Raw genomic sequence first — 25,588 nt, forward strand, 5'->3', positions numbered from 1 at the left:
AGTCTTAGTCACTGGTGGCATGGCTGGCCAGCTTTGGGGCAGAGTGACGGACTCATGGCAGCAGGGCCCTTGCCTGCCATAAGAAAAGACAGGCCCGGAAGCTGAAGGGCCAGTGGCATCATAATTACATCTTTCCAGTAATTGATTGCTTGACCTGTGCCAATGTAACATATGTAACCCATAAGATTGTTCTTAAGGCTCATAAGATATAGATACTTAAGGACTCACAGAGAGTGCAGTGTCTACACAGGTATGTTCTGCCCTCCAGAATTTCCCTTAAATAATTGCACAGAAATCTGTCCCTAATATTTCCTTTTGCATTACATGTATGGTGTACCTAGAATCTGGCTTTTCTAAAACAACTAGAACATCAGCAAGGTGTCTCAGAGGTTGAAAAGAGGCCTGGATGATTCTTTGTGCTTGTGTTTGAGGCTGTCAATATGTTAAAGTAGTAAAATAATGACAAAGCAGCATTATAAACATTGAAGAATATTTTAAATGCTTACATGTACAAATTTGCAATATTATACACATGCATAAAAGTGGTAGAATTTTCCTAGTCTAGAAATAACATAAGGAACAGCAAGTGATTTGTTATAGAAAAAAAATGAGGCTGAGGTTTAAAGATACATGAAGAACATTACCTTTCTTCAGTCCTGTCAGTGCGGCTCTGGGCATGTATTTGGAGATAGTGTCAGGAGCCTACATTTGAGTTCTCTCTTTGACAGGAAGTCCAAGTTATTCAACTTCCTGTGTCTCACATTCCCTGCCTAGCTCTGCAGTGATAGGCTTTGTTGCATGCATCCACCATACTGAAGACTCCATGATATATAATAAATGAAGAAGCTTAAACTCTGAATTCTTTCTCCAAAATATATTAGTTGTGTAACCTTATGCAAGTTATTTAGGCTTGCTAAACCAATTTCCATTATCGTAAAATGAAGCTAGGACACTGGAATGCTTATTTCACACAGAGTTGCTGGGAAAAGAACAAGATAGTGAGTGTAAAGTATCAAACACATAGTGAATGCTCAAGTGTCAGATACCATCACCATCTTCACCGTCATCACCATCACCACCACTTCCACTGTCACCACCATCACCACCATCATCATTACCACCACAACCCTGTCACACACACACACACACACGCACACCCATGCATCAGAACCAGAGCCTCAAATCTTGGTTTGAAAATCTGTTGAGTGTAACAACTGGGACTGGATCCAGTGAAGAGTCTTATGGTTATAACCTCCCTGAGCCCTCCTGCATGTGTGAACTGTTAGCACCACAGCCGCAGTGACTTGGCCCTGGGTTCTGCTTCATTCCACCCTCACCTGTCCTTGGTAAATAAACATGTATGTGCAAGACAGTTTGTACATCTCAGACAAATCTCTTCTGCCACATGTGTGAGAAAATTGAGACAGAATAAGGACTTTATAACTAGAAAAGATAAAATCCAAAGGGCATTGGGGCATCTGCAGATTCACAGAATGACTGTCAGTCATCATTCTTGGGCCCCTGATGCTAAAAGAGACACACCTTGCCATCTCCACCTGGGAAGAGCTTGTGCTGCAAAGAGAGAGAACATGATGAACTTAACAGGAGTTAAGAATTTGGCTCTGATTCCCTGGAGTCTGTTAGGTGGGGTCTTTAGCTGTTTGGAAAAGAAGGGTTTCTGCCTGGGACAGGTAATAATTGCTGAACAGACTTTCCTTGCACTTTCCCTGGAGGTGTGAATTTGATAGCAGTGATGCCTTGCAGATTATCATTTCCTGGTTTATGATGGAGGAACTTAATCTCCTGTTTAGGTTTCTAACTGCCAGGTCCCATAGGTTACTTACTTCACAACAGAAAAATAGAAAAGAATGGAAAGATAAAATCAAATTCATCTCACACATTAAAATCATGGCCTGTTATAGTCAGCACTGTAGACACTGAACTTGGAAGCTGCAAGGAGGGTGATATTACCAAAAATGTTAAGTTCCAAAAATGTTAAACTCTAGAGAGAATGGTTAATTAACTGTCAGGGGTCACTGTAGGGTAGATGCATGTCGCAATGATAATCTATGCATACCCTAAGAATGACCCCCACATAGCACTCGCACCTGAATGTGTGTTTGGAGTTCCAAGCTAAGGAATCTGGGAGTGGCCAAGCCAGAGATTCACTCCTTATCTATGAGGAACATCTGAGCCCCCAGCCGACCCTGTGAAAAACAGACCATACATGGGATTAAGGCCCTTGGTTTTCAGTTAAATGAAGGTTAAGTAGAAGCTGTTAAAAGGAGGATGTTACGTGAAAAATGTTATATAAACGACATGCTTCTCTTGAGTGGCTGTGGTTATCGCGTTCTGCTGCCACTGGTCCTGTGGTTCTCCTGTTCAGCCTGCTGCCACTGGTCTGTCCTGATATGTAAGTTCCCCTCTAAACCCTGTGGCAGCCGGGCGCGGTGGCTCACACCTGTAATCCCAGCACTTTGGGAGGCCAAGGTGGGCAAATCACCTGAGGTCAGGAGTTTGAGACCAGCCTGGCCAACATGGCAAAACCCCGTCCCTACTAAAAATACAAAAATTAGCCAGATGTGGCGCACACCTGTAATCCCAGCTACTCCAGAGGCTGAGGCAGGAGAATGGCTTGAACCTGGGAGGCAGAGGTTGCATTGAGCTGAGATTATGCCACTGCACTCCAGCCTGGGCGACAGAGCAAGACTCCGTCTCAAAATAAGAATAAACATAAACCCTGTGTCGCATTCACTGGCTCCAGGTCTCTTCTTCAGCCTCTCGGACCTGCTGCCATCCTCACTGGAATTAATGGGGAATTGGCATGACAATCACTCTTGGAATAATTTGCAAGAATTTAAAACAATTATTATGAACATTGTGTATTTTCATGGAAAAGGCCAGAGACGTGATGCTAAGTGAAAAAAATGGGACATGTTGTAAAATGATCAAAACAGGGTATTTAGCATATGCAACAGCACGCATTTATCATTTCTTTATCATAAGAACATTCAAAAGCCTCTCTTCTAAATATTTTATAAGATACTACACCTTACTGTTACTAAATGTGAAAAAAATAAAAATTAAAAACCACACAAGAAAAAGAAGTGGGACACGAAGTTGTATGTGTATTGTATAGAATTTGTATGCAGATGGACATAAACCCTTGAAAAAATTTGCATACATAACACACGGTTCAGCTGCACTGATTATGGTTGACCTTTTTTCCTCTCTTTTTCCAAGTTTTGTGCACTTATATGTATTTGTGCATGCGTGCATAATTATATATGTTTTAATGTAGAGTGTATAAATCACATTATGTATATGCAAACATATATAACATTTTTAATGAACAAAGGTCTTTAAGCATTTGGAAAAGACCAGATCTGAGCAGAGCGAGTGCAAAAAGAAAGTTTTTGTACTTTAAAAACTACTTAGAATTTGGCATAAACTAAGGACTAAGCTTTAACGTTAATCGATAAATGAGTGAATCTTACATTCTATCCCGAATATGATTGTGCTTTAGTGAAGTAACTAGGATTTTTCTTTTTTCTGTGGAGATTCTAGATATAAATCACGGTTTTGTTTCTTTGGTTTAAATTACATTCCTCTTTGATCATTACTTCACACAATGAAAAGATATTTCCTTGTGCAAAGTAGTGGTTAACTTCTCATAACCTCTGACAACAAAGAGCCCCTGTGTGAGGACACAGGAATTCCTCTTGGGATACAGGGAAGGCCCCCAGCTGAATCGTATCCAAGGAAGATGTTGCAAAGCTTGCAAAGCTTGTTCAGAAAAAGGAGCCCAGCTTGAGCTCTTTGCTTTCTATTCAGATATTGGCCCCATGTAGAGGTGGGGGTGGGAGTTGGGGGGAACCCATCAAAGAGAAATGGGAAACAAACCTGACTGCATTTACAGATTACAAGGAAAAGTTAATTCTTGCAACCAGTGTTAGAGCCAACTCAGGCTTATTATATTTAGAATTTAACTCCACTTGGAAAAAAACCCCTTTTTTTTTTTTCCTTTCATGGAAGTTAAAGAAGGTAACACAAACAGCCCGTCCACTCTGTGGTGTAAACTCTGAAGTAAAAAACACCTGTCTGCAGAGAAGTCCCAGGCTGGCTGAGTTCACCTTGACTAGCTCTATTTTTCCCCACCAGTGAGTCCAGCATGTTCCCACCAGTTATTATTATGAACTGAAATCTCGCAGAGTCAGGCATTTGGCATGGTATTCACGGCCTCTCCCCACCTAACCCCAGCCCATCCTAGTGGATTTATCTCCCATCATGCTTCCTTTTCCACCACCCACAAACCTTCCCTTCCTCCCATGCTTTAACTCCCCACCCCCAACCTTGTTGGGAGGACTTATAGAACGATATAAAGCACCCACAAGTGGGTCTGGCATGTCCAGGCTTTCAGTAAATGCTGGTGCCCTTTTCCCTTCTTCTCTTTCCCTTTGCACAAAAAGTCTTCCTATTAGAGGTACTTAAGTCTTGGGACAATGATAGACCCTTTAACAGGGTGGTGATGAGCAGAAATGAGCGAGGAGGAGAGTCTGCCCTCTCCGCCCTCTACCAGCCCCTCTTAGGGGCCTCCCTCTACCAGCCTACTCATCAAATGCTGCACATTAATAACAATTAGCCACATGGCCGCTGCCATTTTTGTGCTTCTGCCACCAGCTTTTCCTGGTTCATGCATTATGTGTACACCTCATGTGAAGGAACGAAGGAACAGAGAGGTTTTGAGATTTTTCTTGAGGCCACACAGCTTATAAGTAGTGGAGCCGATTCAAATTCAGGAGTTTCTGGCTCTAGAGCTCACCCCTCTTTTCCACTTGTGCTGAACTCCTATTAACCTCAATAGGGAAGGCACCAAGTTCAAGAGGCCGAAAAAGACATCTAGAGCCAGGAAATGAGACATGGGGCTTATTTGGGGCCTACATACAGAGGAGAGAGTCCAGTGGCGGCAGGCTGGACAATATAACCACATTGCCCAGTGGTAGCGGACTAGGCAACTTGCAAACAGCATGCACTCTATACAGCATTTTCACTTACCCTCCCCTTAATAACCTCCACCTGGCAACCTTCATTTAACCCAAAACTCAGGTCTCAATCCCCTGTACAGCGCATCTTCCATTGGACAGGCCGGGTCTCAGATGTTTATCATAGATAAGGAAGGAATCTCTGAGGTGGTCACTCCTGGATTCCCTAGCTCAGAACACACATTCAGGTGCATCTGTCATTCAGGGTCATTCTAAGGGCATACTTAAATTATTACCACCAGGTGCATTTACCCTGCACCACTATGCAAAAGTGTCTTCCCAAAGACTCACCGACTTTTGGTCACCAGCAGCATTTGTCCCCAACACCTGTGGGTGCTCAAACCGTATCAGGAGAAGAAATACCCCCTCCTAGTTCAGGGGTGGCTCCACTTGAAAAATAACATTCTACAAAGTAAAAATTCCATTCCATGTACAGATAAATTGCACGGATAAATATCAAGCAAGAATCTATTTGCTAACAGACCACGGAATGTTGTCCTTCGGGTGTTTAATGTTGTACTTGAATATGCTGTAAAAAACGCCATTTAAGAACGTGTAGATCAGCACTATCCAATAGAACTTTCTGTAATGAGGAACATGTTCTATGTCCATACTGTACAATACAGTAGCCACTAGCCACATGTGGCTTTTGAGCACTTGAAGTATGGCTCATTAGTGTAACCAAGGAGCTGAAATTTTAATGTATTTAATTTTAAGTAATTTAGGTAGCCATATGTCGTTAGTATTTACCATTTTGACTGTGCAGCTCCAGAATATTCAGAAAGATTGGTTGTAGGACACCACCCCAACTCCATTTTCATAGTGTTTTGCCTATAATCTCTATTATATCATTGCATCTAATTGCTTAGGTGCACCCACCCCACTAAATTATAAGCTTGATGTCTTATTCATCTGGGCTGTGATCCCTACTAGCATATGGTCTGGCCCGCAGCACTAGATGTTTAATAATTAATGCAAGTTAAATAAATGGATGTGAACTGGCTCATTCAGAAGCCAGATTCCTACTGCTTGCTATCATCTAATTCACTCTTTCTCATGACTTTCTCTTATGACTAGACTGGTCCCCAAATCTCCAGGTCAAGCCCAGTCTGCTCACCTGTAAGCACATTTTTCTTTTCTCAAACGAAATCGCTCTTTTAAGTGATTGTTTTGGTATTTGCCTCTTTCTCTCTAAATGCATACTTCTATTACTATTTCTTTGGTGGGTTTTTTTCCATAATAGGCATCATCTTCCACAGTGGAAGAAGCTACCACCTCCAGCCCTACCATACATAAGGAATGCCACCATTCTCCACTGAACCCCCTGCCTTTAATTTGGGTTAGAGGAATTTTATAACTGTGTAAATACTTTTGAAAGCTAAACCAGGGAGTGGATTACCATTATATTTCCTTTTCTGTACAGTGTTTTTCTGCAGGTAGCAAAGGGCTTGTTTCTCATTTATTGAATGTTCTGTATACCTACCACTGATTCAACCTCAAATTATTTCCATGTTGTATAAATCTTTATCTTTGGGACACTTTAGTTATTCTGTTCATTTCATCTCTTGAAAGAAGGCTGCCTGGCTGGGCGCGGTGGCTCACACCTATAATCCCAGCACTTTGGGAGGCCGAGGCAGGCGGATCACGAGGTCAGGAGATTGAGACCACGGTGAAACCCATCTCTACTGAAAAAAAAAATACAAAAAATTAGCCGGGCGTGGTGGCGGGCGCCTGTAGTCCCAGCTACTCGGGAGGCTGAGGCAGGAGAATGGCGTGAACCCAGGAGGCAGAGCTTGCAGTGAGCCGAGATAGCGCCACTGCACTCCAGCCTGGGCGACAGAGCAAGACTCCGTCTCAAAAAAAAAAAAGAAGGCTGCTAGAGCCTTCTTAGCTTCTCCAATCTGAACAAGCTGTGCCCTCTCTTGTATACACTGGAGGCATTCTGGGATCTCCCATCACCATCATCCTTGGTAATACTTTTGCCTCTCTTCTGTGTTTAATGCCCTATTTTATCTATCCCTTGTCATTCCCTCTTGGTTTACTCCCTCACTTGTTTTTTACATCTTCTAGTAACTTCTGATAGCCTGAGAAAAGATATATGGATGATAAACGTTTTGAGACCTTTCATATCTGAAAATGTCTTTATCCTACCCTCTCACTTAATTGGTAGTTTGGCCAGATTTAGAATTATTTGTGTGTATATATGTTTAAGAAGTCCAAAATCATGCTGATGCCCAGCTCTTTGTATATCATTGAGTTTTTTTTGTTTTATGTTTCCCTGGGAGGCTACTGGATCTTTACTTTTATCCTACTTCTGAAATATCTCAGTGATGTATGTTGATTTTGATTCTATTTTTAACCATTTCACTGGGCAGTTGGTGAGTCCTTTCAATCCAGAAACTCATGTCCTTCAATTACGTAAAATTTTCTCAAATTATTTTGTGACGAATTCCTTCCCTTCTTTTGTTTATTCTCTCTTCCTGCAACTCCTATTATTTGGATACTGGATGTCCTGGATTGGTCTTCTAATTTTTTTTTATCTTTTTTATTCAATTTTAAATGACTTTATCTCTTTTGCTAATTTATGTGAGATTTCTTCACCTTTTTCTTCTAGATTCTCTGTTGAAATAGTTATTTTTGCTCTTTTGTTTTAATTTCAAGGAGCTGTTTTTTTTGTTCTCTGATTAAAAAAAAACATAGCTTTCAGTTTGGGGGAACAAGTAACATGATGAGGATGTTATTGTCAGTGGCTTGGGGTTTGGGTTGGGGGTTGGTTTTTTGTTTGTTTGTTGTTTTGGATTTTCTTTTTTCTATTCTTTGTTTCCTCCAAGTGCTTTTTGTTGGTTGCTTGGTTCTTTTTTGTTTTTTTTTCTGTTTTTTGTTTTTTTGTTTTTTTTGAGATGGAGTTTTGCTCTTGTTGCGCAGGCTGGAGTGCAATGGTATGATCTTGGGGGCACAACCTCTGCCCCCCGGGTTCAAGTGATTCTCCTGCCTCAGCCTCCCAAGTAGCTGGAATTACAGGCATGTACCACCACACCTGGCTAATTTTTGTATTTTCAGTAGAGATGGGGTTTCTCCATGTTGGTCTGGCTGGTCTCGAACTCCTGACCTCAAGTGATCCACGCACCTTGGCCTCCCCAAGTGCTGGGATTATAGGCCTGAGCCACCGCGCCTGGCCAGGTTGCTTGGTTTTAATCTCTATCTTTATGGTAGAGACTTTTGTTGGTAGAAGGTAGCTGCCAGGCATTCTCACAGAAACAAGGAGGGGAGCAGGCTGCAGTCCCCAACATTTCCTGTGCATGTGTTCACTTAATCCCCCTGTTTTTGGTATGAAACCCCTGCCCTCCACTGTGTGTCCTCTACTGTTGTTTCCAGTCCAGAAACCCTGTTTCACCCTTTCCTGACACTCAACCTGCATTCTTTGGCTGAGACGGAAAGTAGAAACCACTCTAAGGAGTGCAGGAAGAGATTTGGTAACCTGACTTCTTAAAAACCTTCCAAACTATTCTTATTTTAGTCCTCCATAATTCACTCTTACTTTCCTTGGGACTTTAAGGATTCTACCATCTAAATTGGGCTAATCCTTTGTTTTCCAGAGTGCTGATTTAAGAGGTCAGTGACTTTACTTTCTGTTTTTACCTCCTCTATTGCTCTCCCTTTGGGTTTCTGCCTTTGTTTCAATGGGAGGTAGTTGGACGTGTTTGTCCTGTCCATCACCTTTCTGTTGTCATCCCCCCATTCATTGTTTCAGCTCAGTAGGTTAACTGATAACTTCAGGATCTCTGAAACTCTGTATATTGTCCTCCTGCCAACTGTCTCATTTATGGAACCACTGTTCTTCCATTCTGTCAGCCTCCAAAAATAATAATTCTAATAATTCCTTCTTTTATCATACAAATTCCTTCTTCCATGGAAATCTGGAACTTTTTCCCTTAAAATATAGTACATATTTACAGAAGTCCTACTTTGTATTTCTTTTTGAAGAAATAAAGATAATGAGACCTGATCCTTAGATTCAAGGAACTTCCATTGTAGTGGCTGGGAGAAAAACTGCAAACTAATAGATGATGAGAAGGAGGATGGGGATGATGATGATAACAGTGATGAATCAAGCAACAGCCAACACTGTTGAAATTATACTTTGTACCGACTGTGCTCCATACCTTACTGTGTTCTTTCACTTAATCCTAACTACTGTCTGAAAAAGGTACTGAGGGAACAGAAAGACCCTCTCATATTGTTTTATATTGTTTTATACTCAGTACCTGTTTTAAGAAAAAAAACAAGGAAGTGAAATCAAAGACAGGCAGCCTGGCGCCAGGCCTAAAACCAGGACTGGGCCTGCCTGGCCTAAACCTGGTAGTTAAAAGTCAACTCATGACTTAGAACCCAATGTTACCCATAGATTTCAGGCATTGTATGGAAGAACATTGTGAAACTCCCTGCTCTGTTCTGTTTCACTCTGACTACCAGTGCATGAAACACCTGTCACATGTCCCCTAGATTGCTCAATCAATCACGACCCTTTCACGTACAATCTTTAGTGTTGCAAGCCCTTAAAAGGGATAGAAATTGTGCAGTCAGGGAGCTCGGATTTTAAGACAGTAGCTTGCTGATGCTCCCAGCTGAATAAAGCCCTTCCTTCTAAAACTTGGTGTCTGAGAGGTTTTCCCTGCGGCTCATCCTGCTACATTTCTTGGTTCCCTGACCGGGAAGCGAGGTGACTGACAGATGGCCGAGGCAGCCCCTTAGGTGGCCTAGGCCTGCCCTGTGGAGCATCCCTGCAGGGGACTCCAGCCAGCCTGAGTGACGCGATCCAAAGACCGCTCCCAGGTAGGCAATTGCCCCGGTGGAACGCCTCGCCACAGCAGCACGTAGCAGGCCCCTGCAGTGGCTGAGCACCAGGAAGGAACTGGCATTTAGAGTCTGGACATCTGAAACTAGGTAAGACCAGTCTTTGGAACTTGCCCACTCCATTTGAGTGGAAGTGTGGCCTGATCACCCACGGCATGCCTTAATCGGCACTTTGATGTTGATTTTGGGTTTGACTTGGTTTGAATTGCTTGACAGGACTGGTCTTGGGAACTTGCCCACTCCATTTGAGTGGTAGTGTGGCCTGATCACCCATGGCGTGCCTTTATCGGCACTTTGGTTTTGGTTTTGACTTGGTTTAAATTCCTTGACAAGACTGGTCTTGGGAACTTGCCTTCTCCATTCGAGTGGAAGCATGGCCTGATCACCCACGGTGTGCCTCTACCGGCACTTTGGTTTTTGTTTTTGACTTGACTTAGATTGCTTGATACTTTGGTTTTGGTTTTGACCTGGCTTGGATTTCTGGATACTCTGATTTTGGTTTGGTGTGAACTGCAAAAGTGTGTGTGTGCCCTTTTTAAGTGTTTTTTGTTTTGTGGTGTGCATGTGGTGTGAGTGTGGTATTTTGTCTCAAAGAAGCATAGGTCAGGCACAAATAAGCCCACCCCACTAGGAACTATGTTGAAAAATTTCAAGAAAGGATTTAAGGGAGATTATAGTGTTACATGACACCAGAAAAACTTAGAACTTTGTGTGAAATAGACTGGCCAGCATTAGAGGTAGGTTGGCCACCAGAAGGAAGCCTGGACAGGTCCCTTGTTTCAAAGGTATGACCCAAGGTAACCTGTAAGCCAAGGCACCCAGACCAGTTTCCACACATAGACAATTACACCTGGTTTTAGACCCCCTTCCCCACCCAACAGTAGTTAAGAGAACAGCAGCATAAGTGGCTGGCAGAGGCAAGGAAAGACCAGCAGGGAGAAAAAGAGGCCATCTATACCAATTCTAAGTTAATTTAGACTAAACAAGGTCTTATTAATAGCAAAGGATAATTGAAATCCCAAACTTACAAGGTTTTCAACAGAAGTGAAGTTTGCTAAAATTTAACAGCGTAACATGTATTATGGTAACTTCTAATCTTGTGGCCTTACACAGTCTAGTCCAAAGACACAAAGAAAGTTCTCTTTAAAAAAAAAAAAAATGGTTATCTTCAAAAAAAAAAGGAAAAAAAAAGGGGGGGAGGCAGAATTTATATCAAAAGAGTGTTATATGGTAAATTCTTGTCCTGAAATAAATTAACTGGTTGTTTAAAGAAAAAACTACTTGTAATAAGTCAGAAAGTTGAGACACGTTGAAAAATTGTCTGTGAAAGTCGTGAAAGAAAAAAAGTTATAAAAAAAAGTTATGCAAAAAATGTTGTATAATTTAAAAGTAATAAGGCCTCCTGAGTACTACTGAAGAAACAGTTTATGTGCAAGGTGTATAAAGTAAAATATATCTTTGGTAAAAATATTATAAGGAGGCATAAGAATGTGGATTTTTACCTACATTAAAAGGTTAAAAAAAAGTTATTGTTTTAAAAGTTTAAGCAAGTTTTAAAATGTTAATTGTAAAGAAAATTCTGTGTATAAACATATTAGCTAAAGTTAAAAAGGTATCATCCAGTTTTTCTGTGAACTGGATATTAAAGGAAAAATGCAACAGGTTTTTCTTAAAGCATCAACCTGCTCTTTAACAAAAATTATAAAAGGTTAAAAAAAAAGAGTCTATAAAATCTTACCTTATGGTCAAACATGAAAAATTGGATAAATATGTCTACAAGGTTTTATTAAAATTAAGTTTAACATTAATAACACACTAATATAAAGGTAAAATTTAGTTTATCTGGTATAAAAATCATACAAGAAACATTATTAAACATAAAATGGTGTTTAGCTTTCTTTGGTCTAAAAACTAATAAAAATAGGTGCTAAAAGAAACATTCATTTTACTAGAGGATCATAAAAGTTAAAGACTTAAACTTTGGCAATTAAAACAGCATACCAAGATGCAAATGTCTGGTTGAAATGGATCAAATATTCCATCTGCATGTTAAACAAAAGCAATTGTGATGCTTGTGCACATGGCAGAGGCCCTGTTTATCTCCCTTCCACTAAGGTGGTCCTCCAGTCGACCAGGCATGGGCTGCATGGTAGCTCTTTTCCAGGATTCTACAGCCTGGAGTAATAAGTCATGCCAAGCTCTCTCTGCTATATCCCGGAGTCCCTGCAGGTCAGACCCGAGGGCCATCCAGCCTCCATGCCCCAACACTAAGTTCACTTCGTGTCTCTCACCACAGGGAGGAAACTTAGCATTCCTTGGAGACCTGAAGTGATGCGATGAGCTTAAGAATTTTCAAGAGCTTATCAATTAGTCAGCCCTTGTTCATCCCCAAGCGGATGCGTGGTAGTATTGTGGTGGACCTTTACTGGGCACTCTGCCAAATAACTGGAGTGGAACTTATACTTTAGTCCAATTGCCTATCCCTTTCACCCTGGCATTTCATCAACCAGAAGAAAAAAAAAATGGCATTTGGAGTTTTAACCCAGACTGTAGGGCCCTGGCCAAGGCCAGTGGCCTATCTCTCAAAAACAACTAGCTGGGGTTTCCAAAGGCTGACCCCCATGTCTAAGGTCCCTGGCAGCAACGGCCCTGTTAGCACAAGAAGCAGATAAGCTAACTCTTAGGCAAAACCTAAACATAAAGTCCCCCCATGCTGTGGTGACTTTAATAAATACCAAAGGACATCATTAGCTAATAAATGCTAGACTAACTAGATACCAAAGCTTGCTCTGTGAAAATCCCCGCATAACCATTGAAGTTTGCAACACCCTAACCCCGCCACCTTACTCCTGGTATCAGAGAGCCCAGATAAACATAACTGTTTAGAGGTGTTGGACTCAGTTTATTCTAGTAGGCCCAACCTCCGAGACTACCCTTAAACATCAGTAGACTGGGGGCTGTACATGGATGGGAGCAGCTTCGCCAACCCCTGCAAAGTGACTCTGAAGAAGACAGCAAGCCCTGCTCCAGTCACACCCAGAAGCTGACTGGTCCACACAGGCCGAAGCATGAGGAAACTCATCGTGGGACTTATTTTCCTTAAAATTTAGACTTGTACAGTAAGGACTTCAACTGACCTTCCTCAGACTGAGGGCTGTTCCTAGTATATACATCAAGTCACTGAGGTAGGACAAAAGATTGCTACAGTCCTATTGTTTTACAGTTATTGTGAATGCCTAGGAACTCCAAAAGGAACCTGTTTGTATAATAACACTCAGTACCAAGTATGTAATCCAGGAAGTGACCAGCCCGATGTGTGCTATGACCCCTCTGAACCTCCCATGATCACAGTCTTTGAAGTAAGACTAAGGACTGGTCCTTTTCCTGGTGACACAAGTAAAGTAATAGCTAGAACAGAAGAAAGAGGGGTCCCCAAACATGTAACCTTAAAATTTGATGCTTGTGCTTCTATTAATAGTAATCAGCAAGGAATAGGGTGCAGTTCTCTAGACTGGAAAAAAAAGTTACACAGTAAAAAAAAAAATTAAGTATATCTGTCAAGAATCATATTTATGTGAGATGTGTCAATACTGGTCTTGTGTCATTTGGACTTACTTGGAAACAGGATTAAAAAGGTCCTGTTTGGCTCCAGAAAGGAAAAGCAGCCCCACTGTGGGAGCTGCAGCCCTTTAGAACTGGTAATCACAAACCCCTCACACCCAAAATGAAATAAAGGAAAATATGTATCATTGAGCATTGATGGAAAAGGACTAGATCCTAGTGTAAACATCTTAATAAAAGGAGAGGTTCAAAGACGCTCTCCAGAACCCGTATTTCAGACTTTCTATGATGAACTAAATGTGCCAGTACCTGAGATTCCAGGAAAGACTAAAAATTTGTTTTTGCAATTAGCCGAGCATGTAGCCCAGTCTCTAAAAGTCACTTCGTGTTATGTTTGTGGAGGAACTATAACAGGAGATCAATGGCCATGGGAATCCCGAGAATTAATTCCTACAGACCCAGTTCCTGATGAATTACCGGCCCAAAAGAACCACCCTGACAATTTTTAGGTTCTAAAGGCCTCAATTATTGGACAATATTGCATAGCTAGAAAAAGAAAAAATTCACTCATTCTGCAGGATGATTTAGTTGCCTAGGACAAAAACTGTAATAATAGTACCATAAAAAAAAAACAGTTACATGATAGAGTTCCAGTTACATAGACAGAGATCCATTCAGTAAATTTCCAAGGTTGCAGACTGTCTGGGCCCACCCAGAAGTCCACTGGGACTGGACTGCCCCCAGTGGGTTATACTGGATATGTGGACATAGAGCCTATGCTAAGCTGCCTGATCAGTGGACAGGTAGCTGTGTAATTGACACCATTAAACCATCTTTCTTTTTACTGCCCGTAAAAGCAGGCAAATTCCTGGGTTTCCCTGTCTATGCTTCCCACAAAAAACGAAGCGTAGCCATAGGTAATTAAAAAGATGATAAATGGCCCCCTAAAAAAATTATACAATACTATAGGCCTGCCAGCTAGACACAAGATGGCTCATGGGGATACTGGACCCCCAATTACATGCTCAACAGAATCATATGGTTGCAAGCTGTTTTAGAAATCATCACTAATAAAACCAGTCAAACCTTGACTATTCTGGCCCGGCAAAAAAACCCTCAGATAAGAAATGCTATCTATCAAAATAGATTGGCTCTCGACTACTTGCTAGCAGCTGAAAGAGAGGTCTATAAGAAATTTAACCTTACTAATTACTGTCTACACATAGATAATCAAAGGCAAGTACTCAAAGACATAGTTAGAAATATGACAAAACTGGCACATGTGCCCGTAAAAGTGTAGCACAGATTCAACCCTGAAGCCATGTTTAGAAGGTGGTTCCCAGCACTAGAAAAATTTAAAACTCTTATAATAGGAGTTATAATAGTAATAGAAACCTGCTTACTGCTCCCTTGTTTACTACCTGTACTTCTTCAAATGATAAAAAGCTTCATCGCTACCTTAGTTCACCAAAATGCTTCAGCACAAGTGTACTATATAAATCACTATCAATCTATTGCACAAAAAGACATAAGTAGCAAAAATAAGAGTGAGAACTCCCACTAATAAAAAGTGAGAGTCTCAAAGGGGGGAAATGAGGGAAGAGATAAACCCTCTCATATTGTTTTATATTGTTTTATACTCAGTACCTGTCTTAAGAAAAAAAACAAGGAAGTGAAATCAAAGACAGGCAGCCCGGGGCCAGGCCCAAAACCAGACCTGGGCCTGCCTGGCCTAAACCTAGTAGTTAAAAATCAACTCATGACTTAGAACCCAATGTTACCCATAGATTTCAGGCATTGTATGGAAGAACATTGTGAAACTGCCTGCTGTGTTGTGTTTCACTCTGACTACCAGTGCATGAAACCCCTATCATGTATCCCCTAGATTGCTCAATCAATCACGACCCTTTCATGTAAAATCTTTAGTGTTGTGAGCCCTTAAAAGGGACAGAAATTGTGCACTTGGGGAGCTCAGATTTTAAGACAGTAGCTTGCCGATGCTCCCAGCTGAATAAAACCCTTCCTTCTACAACTCAGTGTCTGAGAGGTTTTGCCTGTGGCTCATCCTGCTACAGTACTATTATCATTGTCATTTTATGCATAAGGAAGGAGCTAGTGAGGCTATGTAACTCTTGTACAATACTATGTGTAATAAACATATAAACCAATGTGCTAAGAGAAACCAGGGGCAGTAGAAATTAACTCAAAAATCCAAGAAGTCTTGAAATAAAATCACTTCCAAATTTGCTCCTTCCTCTGGATTCCCTTTGATGCCACCACACGCCAGGCTTTTTTTTATCTCATCATTAAATTGAAAGGGTAAACTCTTAGCAAGTCTTTCTGTACCCAACCCTTTTCATTTTCTCTGCTTACCACTGGTAGGTCATGCTTTGTAATATATTGCTTCCATCTTGTCATTCACCACTTCAGAACCTAATTTGTTTGCCTATCATGCCATATTTGGTCTTCTGGACCTACTTTCAGTAACCTGGCCATATAGGCCATATCCATCTTGTAACCCCAAAATCCAACATGGGTCTCTCCATTGTCTTTCACACAAGTCCTGTTCTTTTCTACCTTTTTGCTTTTACTAAAACTGTCCTCTCCGCCTAATTAATTTCTACCTATCTCTCATGGCCTCATTTTTCCATAAAGCCTTTCCTGGCAGCTTCGTTGCAGTGGGATTACATTTTCTCCCAAACTCCCATAACGCTTAGTGCTGACTGGCTGTACCAGGCATCAGGTCTTCCCCATGTACAAGCAATAGCTTGCCCAACAAATGAGTTATTTATACTTGTATCCCTGTATAGAAACACATATTTTCCAGGCACCAGCAGTATACCAAAAAATATTTATTTTTGAAAAGATTTATCACTTCAAAAAGTCATTCTGGGAAAAATTATAACTTCTTTGATGCATCTTATTTCATGGTTATTGTTATTTTGACACCTGATCTTTATAGTTCTTGGAGCTGATAAACTTCTTACTTTACCCCTGGATGTTGTTAGTTTCATCTTAGAAGGACTTCTTTGTATAACTGTGCACAACGTAGACACTTGTTTGATATAGGGTATTGTTTGTAAAATTTTTGCATAATATATTGCTGAAATAAACTATAATATGGGATTAATGCCACATTTCATTAAATATTAGATGCCATTGATTGTAACATGTACCATTATCTTACGTAACACAAAGATAGAAAATAATGCTGCCAATGTAACCATGATGTGCCAATGATTGCTAGATACATTCCAATTCCAGATATGTTAAAAGGTAAATGAATACACGTACATCTTAGAATCGATAAAATGTGAGCGTTGTTGTGTTATAATATTATGCATTGGTATTAGGCATCTTTAAATTGCCAATGATATTTTTAAGTCAAATTTTTTAAAACATGCAAGGTACCACCTATATGCAAGTCACTGTGCCAAGGGACACAATGTGCAGATAAACACTGATGAAACCATGGCTTTCTCTACTGAGGGTTTATAGTCTGATAGAGGGAACATTGTATAAATGAATTATGTACTATAATCCAAGACGGAAAGTGATCAGAGCTATCCACCTTGATACAGTGATATAGTTTGGCTGTGTCCCCACCCAAATCTCATCTTGAATTGTAGCTACCATAATCCCCACGTGTTGTGGGAGGTAATTGAATCATGGGGGTGGGTTTTTCCCGTGGTATTCTCATGATACTGAATAAATCTCATGAGATCTGATGGTTTTATAAAGGGCAGTTCCCCTGCACACGCTGCCTTGCCTCCTGACATGTAAGATGTGCCTTTGCATCTGCTTCACCATCCGCCATGATTGTGAGGCCTCCCCAGCCACGTGGAACTGTGAGTCCATTAAACCTCTTTTTCTTTATAAATTACCCAGTCTCAGGAATTTCTTCATAGCAGTATGAAAATGGACTAATACAAAGAGCTTAAAGATCCTTTAGAAATATTTATTTATTTATTTATTTAGAGGCAGAGTCTTGCTCTGTCACCCAAGCTGGAGTGCAGTGGTGCAATGAGCTCGCTGCACCCTCCGCCTCCAGGTTCAAGCAATTCTGCTCCTCAGCCTCCTGAGTAGCTGGGACTACAGGCATGTGCCACCACGCCTGGCTAATTTTTGTACTTTTAGTAGAGACAAGGTTTCACCATGTTGGTCAGGCTAGTCTCGAACTTCTGACCTCAGGTGATCCACCTGCCTCAGCCTCCCAAAGTGCTGGGATTACAGGTGTGAGCCACCACACCCGGCCTAGAAATATTTTAAATAGAGTAATTACCTTTATTTTGGAATTTTTCAAAGTCTTCCTGGAGAAAGTGGTGTGTGAAATGAGTTTTGAAGGATGAATAGAATTTTGCAAACTATTGATTGGTAAGGAGGTATGCCAATTGGGGAAAATAATATGTGCAAAGGTATAGAAGCATTGGCATTAAAGAATAATGAAAAGTCTAGTTTGGCTGGAAATAGAAAGTAGCTGGAGGAGTTCCCCAGATAAACTAGGAAGGCCATGGATGTCGTATTGTAGAAGGCCTTGAATGCATAGCTGAGGATATTTAAGATTTGGTAGGCAATACGGAACCACTTAAGGTCTTTTAACAGTGCAGTGGTTTAATGAGAGCTTTTCATTACATAGCTGGCTCCATCTCATCTTTTAGATCCCAGTTTAAATGCTACCCTCTCAGAGGGTCCAACCCTCACTCTAAGTGAATTCTCACCTATAACTCCAAATTGCCACATCCAGTTGGTTTCCTAGGAAGCACTTACCACTGGTTTTGATCTGTCTACCAACCACCTGGTAAGTTGCATGGTAGGGCAAGTAGGGCGTTCTGTTCCCCTTTCATACTCTCAGTGCTTAGCACTCTACATGGCACTTCTTAGGCACTCAGTAACAGCTTACTAAGTGTGCAGACATCTGAGAGTAGCTTCTAACAGACAGTTGGATACTTTGTTCAAAACAAAAACAAGAATTATGTGACGTTATCAATTCATAGAGGACACTCTGAGACAGGAGGCCAGGAAACAAGTCCTGGCTCCTCCCTACCGATTCCTTGCATGGCCCTGGATAAGTCACTAAGACTCATGCCCTCTGGTTTGTTTATCTTTCCGAAAATGGTTGTGGAGGAACTGACTGCTGAGGTCTTCTCTTCAGAAATGCTGCATCATCCACATGCAAAATATGGGTCTGGTGCTTAGGAGACAAAGGGTGTGGCTCGAGAGGTGGATTTTGGATTTGTTCTACAGGGAATACAGTATAATCAAAGTCAAGATAAGGATCCAGTTTTTAAAATGGTCTCGATCCTCTGCACAGCATTTGATGCTGTTGGACTGGTAGCTGTTCTCTTTATCTGAGGCACTGTAGAGCCCTGTACCTCAAACCTTTTCTACTGCTGCTTGTCTGTTTCTTTCACCCAGAACCCTTCACCCCACAGATGTAGATGTTCAAATCATATGGTTCTGCCTTCTTCCCTCTTCACATCTCACTCCCTAGGGTGACTCTTAACACTCCATGGAAATCCTTGTTCCCCCTGAGTCTCCTCCTTAAACATCAAGCAATCCAGAATATTTACTGCTCCCATCAGGCTGTTATTCTATAGGATGCACCACCTGGCATCCCACCCTATTCTTTCCACGTTTCATTAAATTTTCTAACAGTCTTTCACTACAGTTTTTGTTACCTAAAATCTGCAGTTTCCTGTGCATAGCATAGGGCTTGTCACACAGTAGGAATTCAGAATTCTTTGTTGACTAAATGATACTCCATTCTTTCTGCCTCATCTCTGTCACATTCCCCTTGCCTAAAACGCCCTCCCGACACACCTGGTCACTATTAGTTTTTCTTTTTTATTTTCTTTTTCTTTTTTTTGTTTTGTTTTGTTTTTTTGTTTTTTTGAGACAGAGTTTCGCTCTTGTTGCCCAGGCAGGAGTGCAGTGGCACCATCTCGGCTCACTGCAACCTCTGTCCCCGGGGTTCAAGCGATTCTCCTGCCTCCGCCTCCTGTGTAGCTGGGATTACAGGCACCTGCCACCACACCAGGTTAATTTTTTGTATTTTTAGTAGAGACGGGGTTTCACCATGTTGGCCAGGCTGGTCTCGAACTCCTGACCTCAGGTGATCCACCTGTCTCAGCCCCGCTGAGTGCTGGGATTACAAGCATGACCACGCCCAGCCCCTTTATTAGTTTTTCATCCGATATGATTCCTCTCTGTTTCAGTGCCTGGCTCAGGTACTGTCAGCTTCTGGAAGCCTCCCAGTTACACTCTCTTCCCTACCTGAACCACCTCAGGATTTTGTTGGTGTCCCCTTGATGGCATTGTTTGTACTCTGAATGATATTGTAGTTCATTGTAAGCTCTTCTCACCTCTTTGCTTTTCCCTGCTAGAGGGTTATCTCCCTGCAGGCATGGACTTGTGTTTCTCATGGCTTCCTTATCAAGTAATATTTAAATGAATTGTGAATACTATGATAAAAAATAAGAATAATAGAATAATCATGGGACAATGTTTGAGCAGTGTATCAGAGCTTAAGGAGTTACTGAACAATTTAAAGAAATAACCAAGTGAGAAGATTTCGCTGACGAGAATATAAAATTAAATCACTGAAAGGGTGTAAAACCATTCCAATATCATAAGACAGAGCTCATTATCTCGATATACAGTCTACTTGGGAGTGGAATAAGAGCCTTTCTTGAAAATGATGTGTCCATGTGTAGTAAATTATTCTAATAATCATGGAGAAGTGAATACAAATCTGAACACTTGTTTTACTTTCTTAAGTTCTATACATCATAAACAAAGATATTTTCTAAATCATGTATTTTATTGAAATACCACACATTTATTCATTCAATTTTGCTTGTTTTTGTTGTTGTTTTGTTTTTTTGTGGGATTTTTCGCTTAGTCAAAACTTTGTCCATCAGAGAAGAGGCACATTGTCATGTAATGTTTATCAATAGTAATAACAACTAGAATGTCTTAGTCCATTCAGACTGCTATAAGAAAATACCAGAAAGTGGGTGGTTTATAAACAACAGAAATTTCTCAGAGTTGTGGAGGCTGGAAAGTTCAAGATCAAGGTGCCAGCAGATTTGGCGTCTGGTGAGGACCTGCTTCATAGATAACCATCGTTCGCTATAACTTCATAAGGCAGATGGGGCGAGGCAGCTCTCTGGGATCTCTTTAATAATGGCACTGATTTTATCCCCAGAGGGTCCTGCCTCCTAATACCATCACACTGGGGATTGGTTTCAACATATGAATTTGCAGGGGGCACAGACATTCAGTCCATAGTAGATGGCTTTTGGTTATTGGACAACTCCAACATTTCCAGTGTGTGATCAACAGTTTATATGATGTTCCATTTAAATCTCACTATAATATTATTTTACAGACTGAAATTGTGGTTAACTGTGAGTTGATTGCTGAGTGTCAGGAGCTGGGCTGCAAACCCCAGCCTGATAAATGTGAAACCCCTTGCCTTCCTGGGCAAACTGTTCCAAGCCAGGAACTCCTTCCCCACATTACTGCCCAGTGCCCTTTAGGAAATGCTTCCTGCAGTCACACTCACGATAATACCTGACTGTGAAAAGAAGGCAACCCACAGATCTCAATGTTCAACTTTTTTGTTGTTGCAGGAAGAGAAGTTAAACTTCTAGAGAAACCTAACAGACAATATCCACAACAGGTAAGCTATTTTATCTTTCCATGCTTTGGTGAGAAAATCTATTCTCTTCACTTTCTGTTAAATTTTCTATCATTTGGTCTTCTGCTACAGTTTTTATTACCTAAAACCTTAAAGCCAGTAGACACAGAAGTCCCCAAAGTCTCCTTCTTTCTGACTCACTCAGGTTTGAGTAGAATTGCTGTTTCCTTTTTACGTTTGTTTTTTGGACATACAATTCTAAAACGAGTGTGATAATGCATGGTTCAACCAAGTCTCCACACTGAAAAGATTTCCAGTTAATCTATCCCCCCGTCCCCAGGCAATTTCAAGCTTCTCCCGTAATGTCCATGCCTCAGAACAGTGGCTCTCAGCGTGTGGTCCCGGGACCTACGGCATCAGCCTCACCTGGGTACTTGTTAGAAATTCAGTTTCTCCCTGGAAGAAAACCTAGGCATTACCATTCAGGACATAGGTATGGGCAAGGACTTCATGTCTAAAACACCAAAAGCAATGGCAACAAAAGATGAAATTGACAAATGGGATCTAATTAAACTAAAGAGCTTCTGCACAGCAAAAGAAACTACCATCAGAGTGAACAGGCAACCTACAAAATGGGAGAAAATTTTCGCAACCTACTCATCTGACAAAGGGCTAATATCCAGAATCTACAATGAACTCAACCAAATTTACAAGAAAAAAACAAACAACCCCATCAAAAAGTGGGCGAAGGACATGAACAGACACTTCTCAAAAGAAGACATTTATGCAGCCAAAAAACACATGAAAAAATGCTCACCATCACTGGCCATCAGAGAAATGCAAATCAAAATCACAATGAGATACCATCTCACACCAGTTAGAATGGCAATCATTAAAAAGTCAGGAAACAACAGGTGCTGGAGAGGATGTGGAGAAATAGGAACACTTTTACACTGTTGGTGGGACTGTAAACTAGTTCAACCATTGTGGAAGTCAGTGTGGCGATTCCTCAGGGATCTAGAACTAGAAATACCATTTGACCCAGCCATCCCATTACTGGGTATATACCCAAAGGACTATAAATCATGCTGCTATAAAGACACATGCACACGTATGTTTATTGCGGCACTATTCACAATAGCAAAGACTTGGAACCAACCCAAATGTCCAACAATGATAGACTGGATTAAGAAAATGTGGCACATATACACCATGGAATACTATGCAGCCATAAAAAAGATGAGTTCATGCCCTTTGTAGGGACATGGATGAAATTGGAAATCATCATTCTCAGTAAACTATCGCAAGAACAAAAAACCAAACACCGCATATTCTCACTCATAGATGGGAATTGAACAATGAGAACACATGGACACAGGAAGGGGAACATCACACTCTGGGGACTGTTGTGGGGTGGGGGGAGGGGGAAGGGATAGCATTAGGAGATATACCTAATGCTAAATGACAAGTTAATGGGTGCAGCACACCAGCATGGCACATGTATACATATGTAACTAACCTGCACATTGTGCACATGTACCCTAAAACTTAAAGTATAATAATAATAAGATAAAATAAAATAAATTCAGTTTCTCAGGCCCCATCCCAGACCCACTAAATCAGAGGGTCCAGGATAACGACTAGTCCTCGAGATGATTCCAGTATACTCTCCTGTTTAGGACCCAGGTACTGTGAATACAGACCTTCCTTCTCTTTATTTCTCTCTGAGTCTCCTTCCCAAGCCCTTTACCATTTCCATCTTTGTCCGAACTTGCATTATAATCTTCTATATATTTTTACTCCAGTGGAACCAGCCTGGTCCCCTCACTCTGTGTCTCCTGAAAGTGGTGCATGCATTATTCTTGTTCCCCTTTGCAAATTCTAGATGGTCAAGCTGCCTCCTATCTGCAAACCTTATCTTCCTTTAAGGTTCATGCCATTGGCCTATTCTGTCCTTTTCCCTACTTGTTGCCTTTATCTGGGGACTTCCCAGTGGCTCTAGATCATTCAATACCATAGGCCCAAAGCCTTTCTGACTTTCTGCACTCTAGTCATCCTCACTTCCACTACATTTCACTTTCCATGGCCACATCCTGGACCATGTCCTTCATTGTAGACACTAATATGCCAATGCCACCATCTCTTATGGCTCCAAATTCTCATGCTCAAGGATGCCAGGTCACTGGTCTTGCTTTTGTTCCCCCTAACCTCATTAGGATCCTCACCCTGCAGGACTCTTTCTTCTTCCTTAGCCAACCTCTTGGCCACACAGCCCTAACCTTTTAGTGCAGGCTCCAGGTCCATTGCTTCAGCCATGCTTGCCAGCACTCTCAAGACCCAAGCCCTGTTGCCTTATACCTCAACCTGGGACCAGGGTAGTAACCCACATTCTATAGGCCTTTACCTGGATTGCCGGGCACTGCTGGGAGAGGGAAAGAATGCCAGAACTACATGCATTGGCATCACTCAGATTTTTGGTGGCCAGCTGAGGCCAACCCTCAGCACTGCTCAGCTGCCTTTCAGTCGTTGCTCTTCCCCTCCACCACACACCATTCCAAACCTTGTCACTTTGAGCTTTCACATCTAGCCCTTTCAGCAGACACCTTGCCCCTACATCAAGAAACTCACAGCTTACAGTCTTCCAGCTTCCCTCCCTGCATCTAGAACTGTCTCCACTTAAAATCACCCTTGCCTCTTTCCCTCTAGGCTCCAAAGGAAAAGTGTATATCTGTACATCTTTCTAAGGTGTATTTCTTCATTAGTGATCTTGACTTGATCCTAGATTTTCCCCCATTGTTTCTACTATTCTCAGTTTCTTTCAACTATCTTTTTCCTCCTTGGCTTATAAAAGGTATTTATCTTTCACCTGCTACGAAACCATCCTATAATCCTATATCTTTGTTCACTGTGACTGTTCCCTTCATCTTTTCCATCTCAGCCAAGCTCCCTAAGAGTTCTCTCTCCTCCTTTTCATATGCCCCATGCATTCCTTAACCTGCTGCAGCCCAGCATGCACCTCCACTGCTCTACAACCTTCCTGCATTTCCCACCAACAACCTCCTTGATATGAAATTCAGGTGCACTGTTCCATCCTTTCCTTATCTCTGAGGCACCTGACACTCTTTGATGGAAGACTGTCTCCTCTCCTGCTTCTTGATAATAAAGCCCAATTCCCTCCTTCCTCTCTGAGCATTCTTCCCAATCCTCCTTATATGCTCATCCTCCTCTGCCTAAGAGCAAACAAGCAGAGTTAAGACTTGCAGGCAACTCGCAAGCCCCACCCTCATGAGTTGAATAGTTGAGAAGGCAGGAAAGACGTCAAAAAATGAATTAAATAAAACTGTAAGTTGTGCTAAGAATGTAAAGTGAAAGGTGATATGAGGTGGAATAACAGGGTTTAAAACTGGCTGGTTTAGATTGGGTGGGGTGAGAAGGCAAAGGAAATAGTCTATGACAAGGTCCTTGAGATCAGGAGCAAAACATAAATTTTAAAGACTTGAAAGAAGGCCAATGTGGCCAGGGAAAGAAAGGGGGGACAATACACCAGAAAGCTGTGTATGAGATAGAAAAGACTTCATCTATTATTGTATAAGTTTCTTATTAATTTTAAGTGAGTTACTGCAGTCGACAATCATAATTCACTGTAGTTATGTTCTATAAAGTCACTTCAAACAAGGAGTTAGTGAATACTGCACAATTGCTCTCAGGGGAAATATGGGGTTAGGTTCCTAGAAGCCTCTGGTCACAATATTTTCATCAACTGATCAATATATAACTTGTTTTATGTGTGTTTCAGTTGTTAAAGCACTTTATTTGCATATGTATTGTTAATTCATTAACATTGAGCTCAGGGCTAACAGCACTATGACTCATTTCTGAACAAAGCTTATCTAACACACACATTTTCTCTGTAAGGCACATCACAGCATTCTTGCACCTAGGACCACTAGACAACACGTCAGCACTATGCCTGGGGCTATTTTTAACAGTGACATCACCAACAAAAAGCACAAAATGCAAACAATGGGTCCATGAGAAGAAACCCATTTACAGTATGGCACAGTGCCATCTTGTTTGAGCTCAGCTAGAAACATAAGCATCTAATGACTCAAAATATTTTGCCCACTCTGCACATGTCCAGGAATGGCCACACAAGCACCATGAGTATTGATTTGGGGGTTACAAATTAACGTTAGTAAGTCAGTGAATTCACAAATACAGAATCCACAAATAATGAGAACCAAGTGTATATGTAAAGCATATCGATGAACACCAGGTACATAAGAAGGAATATGTACATTTGATATTTTAATCATCTTCATTATTGCATGCTACTAAATATCCTGACAGCATGAGATACCTCTGAAAAGTTTTAGGCAGGGGAAGTGATAATGATCCAGATTCATGGCCTAAAAAGATCGTGACTCCTTTGTGGCAAATATGTTAGCCAGAGACACTAGCAGGTATAGGTGATAGTAAGGCGATGTTG

At 41.3% G+C, this 25,588-nt stretch overlaps 1 protein-coding gene across 4 annotated transcripts in view, besides 2 other annotated features; it reads left to right on the forward strand.

The window, feature by feature from the left end:
- PGCKA1 (PDCD10 and GCKIII kinases associated 1) overlaps window positions 1–25,588 on the forward strand; it is a 140,256-nt gene that overhangs the window by 83,681 nt on the left and 30,987 nt on the right. For all 4 annotated transcript variants that reach the window (XM_011513713.3, XM_011513712.3, NM_001104629.2 and 1 more), the window contains one exon: window positions 21,092–21,141. The gene's annotated coding sequence lies outside the window, so the exon portion shown is untranslated. The remainder of the gene's footprint in view (window positions 1–21,091; window positions 21,142–25,588) is intronic.
- Window positions 2,490–2,990: an enhancer, noted in NCBI's record as "H3K4me1 hESC enhancer chr4:37541047-37541547 (GRCh37/hg19 assembly coordinates)". NCBI's record gives its function as "activates a minimal SCP1, AML or CMV promoter by ChIP-STARR-seq in naive H9 embryonic stem cells {active_cell/tissue: H9 hESC(naive)}" and the evidence as "EXISTENCE:reporter gene assay evidence [ECO:0000049][PMID:30033119]".
- Window positions 23,714–24,215: an enhancer, noted in NCBI's record as "H3K27ac hESC enhancer chr4:37562271-37562772 (GRCh37/hg19 assembly coordinates)". NCBI's record gives its function as "activates a minimal SCP1, AML or CMV promoter by ChIP-STARR-seq in naive H9 embryonic stem cells {active_cell/tissue: H9 hESC(naive)}" and the evidence as "EXISTENCE:reporter gene assay evidence [ECO:0000049][PMID:30033119]".

The sequence above is a fragment of the Homo sapiens genome, chromosome 4, assembly GCF_000001405.40.
Source record: "Homo sapiens chromosome 4, GRCh38.p14 Primary Assembly".
Classification (NCBI taxonomy): domain Eukaryota; kingdom Metazoa; phylum Chordata; class Mammalia; order Primates; family Hominidae; genus Homo; species Homo sapiens.